The sequence below is a fragment of the Homo sapiens genome, chromosome 2 (genome assembly GCF_000001405.40).
Source record: "Homo sapiens chromosome 2, GRCh38.p14 Primary Assembly".
In the NCBI taxonomy this organism is placed as follows: domain Eukaryota; kingdom Metazoa; phylum Chordata; class Mammalia; order Primates; family Hominidae; genus Homo; species Homo sapiens.
Window position 1 is genome coordinate 69,449,499 of NC_000002.12, and position 7,688 is coordinate 69,457,186.

The 7,688-nt window shown below is 43.9% G+C and overlaps 1 long non-coding RNA gene across 3 annotated transcripts; it reads left to right on the forward strand.

Moving 5' to 3' along the window:
* Positions 1–4,542, forward strand: LOC124906020 (uncharacterized). Of its 3 annotated transcripts, none has more exons than XR_007086829.1 (3): positions 1–59; positions 4,123–4,210; positions 4,456–4,542. It is a non-coding gene; the product is annotated as an uncharacterized LOC124906020 (long non-coding RNA). The 3 variants fall into 3 exon arrangements; XR_007086821.1 differs by having other exon boundaries at positions 4,431–4,522; XR_007086836.1 differs by lacking the exon at positions 1–59 and adding an exon at positions 1,259–1,363 and having other exon boundaries at positions 4,431–4,522.
* Positions 4,543–7,688: the final 3,146 nt, after the last annotated feature.

The window sequence follows — 7,688 nt, forward strand, 5'->3', positions numbered from 1 at the left end:
GGGTCCCGATCCAGACCCTAAGACAGAGTTCTTGGATCTTGCGTACGAAAGAATCCAGGGTGAGTCCGTAAAGTGAAGCAAGTTTATTAAGAAAGTAGAGGAATAAGGGGGGAGGGATAGCATTAGGCAATATACCTAATGCTAAATGACGGGTTAATGGGTGCAGCACACCAACATGGCACATGTATACATATGTAACAAACCTGCACGTTGTGCACATGTACCCTAAAACTTAAAGTATGATAATAATAATATAATAAAATAAAAAAAAGAAGTAGAGGAATAAAAGAATGGCTACTTCATAGACAGAGCAGCCCCAAGGGCTGCTGGTTGTCAATTTTATAGTTATTTATTGATGATATGCTAAACAAGGGGTGGATTCTTCATGCCTCTCCTTTTTAGACTATATAGGGTAACTTCCTGACATTGCCATGGTATTTGTAAACTGTCATGGTGCTGGCGGAAGTGTAGCAGAGAGGATGACCAGAGGTCTCTCTTGTCGCCATCTCGGTTTTGGTGGGTTTTGGCCGGCTTCTTTACTGCAAGTTGTTTTATCAGCAAGGTCTTTATGACCTGTATCTTGTGCTGAGATCCTATCTCATCCTGTGACTTAGAATGCCTGGGAATGCAGCCCAGTAGGTCTCAGCCTTATTTTACCCAGCCCCTACTCACGATGGAGTTGCTCTGGTTCACATGCCTCTGATGAATCATGAGAAATTAAAACTATGCTTTTCTTAAAGCTCTACAAGCAGAAGCCAGAGAACTTAAACTTTGGGAGAAATAACAGCAATTTATATATAAACAATCTTTGTGCCTATTGAATATGAACTATGCAAAGGGTTCACTTAAACACCTGATTCAAGTCACAATCCAGGAAAATCCGTCAGATTGCCACTGCAATCTGAAGATGCTTCAGAGACTCTAGAAAAACTAGTCTATAGACTGCTTCAGACATTATAATGTGTCAATGTACAACTAAAAGAGTTAGGGAGATGATTGCCCAAAGAATTGCCTTAATTGAGGAGACAATTACGTAGCCTGAATCAGGTTCCAGGATTACTTTCCCTTTGTTGCTGTTATTTGGCATTGCTTCTTTAGTTTCTCCCCCATCTCCGTAGGACATGACCCCCTAGGAATGAGGCTTCCTAGCGACTTGGAATCAGATGAAACTTACAACCACAAACTCGTGTCTTCTACAGGGTTTTTTCTCTGAAAGATTTTGAAGAACGAGGACATGTGACAGAAAATTTAAAAAATTTCAGGACTTCCACTCCTTATTCCAAAGAGGCTGAGTTATGCAACCCCCTCTTGCAAATGAATAGCTGTCACTAGCATTATGCGTTAGCCAGACCCGCATGGAAAGGTAAAAGGCCTCAGGCATCTCCGAATAACTTCCCCATAGATCATGCATAAGTAAATTCTTTGCCAGCCTCCCATAAACAAGGACATGCCAGTTGTAACTTTAGGTTTCCAGTGTATCTCGCTCCTAAAACTAAAGTCTGTTCCATTCCACACTGATAATGTTGATTACAAGCTTATCTTCCCAGGTGTAGAACAAAGACAAATGAGATCAGTCATTCCTCCAGCTACCCAAAGATGTTTGCATAATTGATTCTTCCTTTAATCCCTTTTTTCTTCAGACATTCATCTTATCTTATGTAAAAATGTAGATTTACTGGGCACTAACTAAAGTCTCCTAAGAATGTAACCATTCACCTTTACACCTACCTGCCCATCTTCCTACGTGCCTTCCTCCCCTTTAAGGAAAAGTATACATACTAAACCTCCTGAAAACCTCTTTGGAAAAACAGCCACAGATACATCTGTGGCTCACGTTTTTTTCCCTGACACTCCCTGAAGCTGGCTTAATAAACCTCAATTGACTGAGATACTTGCCTCAGTCACTCATTCTGGTTATCTTTCCCAACATGGATGTCAGCAGTGACATTAACTACTAGTTCTGCCCCTTACTCTATGGCATCACTTGACTGTAAGCACCATATAGGCATGCCACCTTTATCTTCTTGATTTTATTCCTAGTGCCTGGCATTTAAGACATACTCAAGATATACTTGCTAAATTGAAACCTCTCTGAAGTTCTGTAGAACTAATCATCTTCTAATAAATATATTTTATTTCATTATTATGCTAATTATTTTTCCATCAGTTTCCCCTGTCTAGAATGTATGCCCCACAAAGGTAGAGATATTTGCTTATATTGATAACTGATGTATCTCATATGCCTAGAACAGCACCTGTCATTCAGTAAGTGCTCCATAAATACTTCTTGAGGCCCGGCGTGGTGGCTTACACCTGTAATCCCAGCACTTTGGGAGGCCGAGGAGGGTGGATCACGAGGTCAGGAGATCGAGACCATCCTGGCTAACATGGTGAAACCCTGTCTCTACTAAAAATACAAAAAATTAGCCAGGCGTGGTGGCACACACCTGTCGTCCCAGCTACTCAGGAGGCTGAAGCAGGAGAATGCTTGAACCCGGGAGGCAGAGGTTGCAGTGAGCAGAGATCGTGTTACTGCACTCCAGCCTGAGCGACAGAGCAAGACTCCGTCTCACAAAAACAAACAAAAAAAACTTGTTGAATGGATGAGCCTAACTTTCCTAATCTGTAAAATGCAGGGAACAATACCTACTGAAAATGGTTGAGTGATTAGAGAAAATGCATTCAAAGTGCCTTGAACTGAGCTTGTCACATAGGTAGTTACAACGATGCTGTTGCTTTATTCTCCTATAACACTTTTAGACCCGTTCCTGATGTTCTACAAGGAGTGACACCTGAGGTCAGCCGACTAATCTGTGTTATTCCTAGAAATGAGATGGATTTGAGTATTTCTGCTGGACTGATGTGGCAGATGAAACAAAGAAATATTTACCTGAGGTATGGTGAACGCTTCTGGGAAAGAATTCATCCTGGGGAAGAATTCCTGTCTTGAGGAAAGAGTCAATTCATATGTTTGATCCAAGGTCAAGCAGCCCAGATACTCAGACTGTCTTCTGGACCAGCCCCCATGAACTCTGCCTCAGGCTCAGGGAGAGTGTTTGAAATAAAGGAAAAGAAGGAAGTTGTTTCATTAAAACATCTAAGACTGTGTGAGCCCTGAGCCCAGGGTCCTGCTGCTTTCTAGCCAGTGAAAGGAGAGGGGCATGCTGTACCCCAGTGGAACCTGTGGAGCACAGTTAACTACTGATTGGATGTCAGGGTCTGAAGCAGGTTGCACCAGCCCGCATCTGGACAGGCGAAGTAGGAAGACATTACACCATAGGTGCCTTGGCCTTGTTAAATAAAATTATGGGAGGTCATTGTTTTGGACTGAGCTCCTGCACTAGGCCCCAACAGACCAGACCAAACTAAAATGGAGTCACTCACGCTAAATGCCATGTAATCAAACTGAAACTTGTAGGAGGCAGATAGACCTCAAAACAGACCTGTTTCTTTTTTTCTCCTGAAAACAGGAGATTCCAGCATGACAAGGAAGTCCTCCTATGCTGTAACTCTTACAAAAAAGTAACCTGATGTTACCCAATCAGCTTTCTTTCTATTGTTCTGTTTCTTTGTTCCCACCTTACAAAACCCACTGTTCTGCCAGGCACAGTGGCTCACGCCTGTAATCCCAACACTTTGGGAGGCTGAGGTGGGTGGATCACTAGGTCAGGAGATCAAGACTATCCTGGTTAACACGGTGAAACCCTGTCTCTACTAAAAATACAAAAAATTAGCCGGGCGTGGTGGCGGGCGCCTGTAGTCCCAGCTACTCAGGAGGCTGAGGCAGGAGAATGGCGTGAACCCGGGAGGCGGAGCTTGCAATGAGCCGAGATCTCGCCGCTGCACTCCATCCAGCCTGGGTGACAGAGCGAGACTCTATCTCAAAAAAACAAAACAAAACCCACTGTTCTATTATTTCTCAGTGAAATTTGAGACCAAATAACTCCATGTATGATGGTGACAGAATGATATCAATGCCTAAAGTTTTGGTTAATCTCTCAGATTGAGAGGTTGTTCAAAAGGGGGAAATTGTTATGTTTGGCCTAAAGCTGCCCCCTTGCATATTTTAAGTTAGGTTTCTCTAGACACAGTGAACTGTAACCCAACTTGATTTCTTAACAGACTCTTCTAACAAGCAGTCTCAGCCAGTCACAGGAGCCAAACTTCAGTCAACCACAGGCAGTCAAATGTTCAAACCAGGTCAAATAAGGTAAATCCCCAGCTGTCACCAATTGAGCTGTTTCTGTACCTCACTTTTATTTTCTATAGATTACTTTCCTTTTTCTGTCCATAAATCGTATCTAACCATGTGACAGTCCTGGAGTCGCTCTGAACCTACTCTGGTTCTGGGGGCTGCCTGATTTGTGAATCATTCGTTGCTCAATTAAGCTCTGTTAAATTTAATTTGTCTAAAATTGTTCTATTAACAGCCTTCTGGGGCTGATTTGGTCGCAGGCAGCAGAGCAGTTGAAGAAGCAAATTAGTAAATGGTAGCAGAACAGAATCTGTTCCAAGCACACATGATCCCAGGAATGGATGGAGAGAGATGTCAGTCATGGGACTTTCCACAGAGAAGGTGGGAGCAGAGACACAGCCACATTGTACTGTGAGGTTGGTGAAGGTCTCAAAAAAGGATTAAGCAAATGACAACAAAGATAATACCTTCCATTTATCACTCTAATTACATACAGCCCCTTCTGCATTGTCTTTGGTTTGTTGATTGAGAGGGAAAAATATCTTCTTTCTTAAATAATCCAGAAAAAAACTTTTATTTATTTAAGACACAGTCTTGCTCTGTCTTCCAGGCTGGAGTGCAGTGGTGTGACCATGGTATACTACAGCTTCAAACTCCTGGGCTCAAGTGATCCTTCTACCTCAGCCTCCTAAGTAGCTGGGACTAGAGGTGCACACCACAGTGCCCAGTTATTTTTTTATCTTTATCTTTGTAGAGACAGGGGTCTCACTATGTTATACAGGTGGCTCTCGGAACTCCTCAAGTGATCTTCCTGCATCAGCCTCCCAAAGTGCTGGGATTACAGGCCTGAGCCACTATGCCAGACCTGGAATAAACATTTTAAAAACAAAGTTCCTGCTCTTGTATTTCCCAAAATTTCTCTGCAAGCTTTGTAGCTTTTCTGCTAGTTTGTTTGTTTGTTTTTAGGATGGAGCCTCACTCTGTCGCCCAGGCTGGAGTGCAGTGGCGTGATTTTGGCTCACCACAACCTCCGCCTCCCAGGTTCAAGCCATTCTCCTGCCTCAGCCTCCCGAGTAGCTGGGATTACAGGCATGTGCCACCACACCCGGCTAATTCTTGTATTTTGAGTAGAGACAGTGTTTCACCATGTTGGCTAGGCTGGTCTTGAACTCCTGACCTCATGATCCGCCCACCTCGGCCTCCCAAAGTGCTGGGATTACAGGCGTGAGCCATCACGCCTGGCGCTCTTCTATTTTTTACCTAATGATTACCCCAAAAACCAACAAAACCTTGATTTCCTTCATCAAACTACTTCTCCCCTTTTACCTCCAAAGCCAGGTGTTCCTAGATTTGAGATCTAAGAGAATACCTGGGAACACCTGGTCATTCGGGTTTGTAGCTATGTATATGTATATGTAGCTGGAAGGCTACCTCTTCTGGCTATGAAGGGTGTGCCCTGTTTAACTCTAGAGGCCACAATAAAACAAGATGCAATGTGAATCGTTCCCTGGAGTTAACCAGCATGGTAGCCCTGTGGAACAGGATATGGAATGGGACTTTCCTGCTGTCTTGGAGTTTTGGCTTAAGCCTCCAAGTCAAGGACACTGGGTGATATCAAAGGCCTCTAACATTTTAAAGTGGTTAGGCTTCCTGAAAGATGTTAAAAAAAAAAATTGGTGACACCTCCACCCAACCCATCCATGTTACGTAAGACAAGCCAACTGAGAATCATCCTTAAAGGCCCTAGGTTGCCTATGATTAGAGGAGTGTGAGGTCTCACTCCCTGACTGCGGGCTTCCTGCCCTGCAGAAACTTTTGGGTCAGTCTCCCCAATTACTGGGGTAAAATATGGTAAGACGGTCCTTGGAGTGTCCTCAGGAGTTTGGGGATGAATTCCAGAGAAGAGAGGTGGGTCCAAGTAGCCCACAAGAGGCACAGCAAAGAGAGAAGGGACAGGAGACAGGCTTGCACTCTCATATTTGGTGGGACAAGGATGCCAAAACTTTCCATGGGCCAAGTGGGCACTGCAGAAGCAAGCCAGGGTGAGCCTTCCTGGAGGGATTCTGCTAATGAGGGGCGCTAGCAGGGAAGGGGACCCCAGCTTGCTGAGTAAAATGTACTTATCAGGGGCAGGAGGTAAGAGGAGCAGGTTGCAAGAATTACAGCGGGAGTCAAATCAGTTTTCTGTAAAGGGCCATAGGGTAAATATTTTTGTCTTTGCCGACCACATGGTCTCTGTTGCAACTACTCCACCCTGTCCTTGGATAGCAAAAGCAGCCATAGGCAATATATAAATGAAAGACTGTGGCTATGTTTCAATACAGAAAGTCTTGAGTTCCACTTCCTGTGAGGAGGAATATAATCTAATAATAGATTAATTGAAATTCTGTGTGAGAGATTTGTTTTTCTTCCCCATTTATCCTGTTTATTCAATCATTTTTTATATCAGTATGGGCTCATGGATGTTTATCCTATGTGTTATCATCTAATAATGCAGTGTTTATTTTATTGCTCAGTTTGTTCTAGCTTTGACCATGGGAGTTCTTTCAGGTTGGCTCTTGTGTTCCTGTGACTCTTTTTTTTTTTTTTTTTTTTTTTTGGTAGTGATGGGGTCTCACTGTGTTGCCCAGGGTGGTCTCGAATGCCTAGCCTCAAATGATTCTCCCGTCTTGGCCTCCTCTATGCTAGGATTACAGAAGTGAGCCACCATGCCTGGCCAATATATATATTGGCTGGAATGCAGTGGCACAATCTTGGCTCACTGCAACCTTCGCCTCCTGGGTTCAAGCGATTCTCCTGCCTCAGCCTTCCGAGAAGCTGGAATCACAGGTGCACGCCACCACGCCTGGCTATTTTGTATTTTTAGTAGAGACAGGGTTTCACCATGTTGGCCAGGCTGGTCTCGAACTCCTGACCTCAAGAGATCCACCCACCTCGGCCACCCACCTCAGCCTCCCGAACTGCTGGGATTACAGGCATAAGCCACCACACCTGGCCCCCATTTTTTTTTAAAGCCCTTTTTAACCTTCTGACACTACACTACAAGATGCTCCTGGTTCATCTTGTATATTTCCTGCTCCAGCCCTAGAATCAGCCATTTTTCCATGGAGCCCTGGCTCTTTTCGTTAGAGAATGGTATTTAAAAACTATGACTGAGTGCTAGGTGTGCTTGTTGTCCATTTACTTTTCACTCTCTTATTCCTTCATCTGTTCCTTCTCTACAGATTGTTTCTCCTCTGCTGCTGAGCTTAGCTGCTTGAGCATTCAAATATGCCCAAGTGCTTCTCCCATTAATTCTTCATCCATGTCCACACCTGGGCTGCATTCTGAAGGGAATATGTCTCTTTTTGGGCCCCTAGGCTAAGCTCATATAACAGCAGGTTGAGGGACTACTTGGTCTCCTTCCATGTAAACTGACATGCTAAGCTAAGCCCTCTAGATCTTACTACTCAAATATAAGAAAAGAGGAACTCAAGGAAAAATACATAAGAGG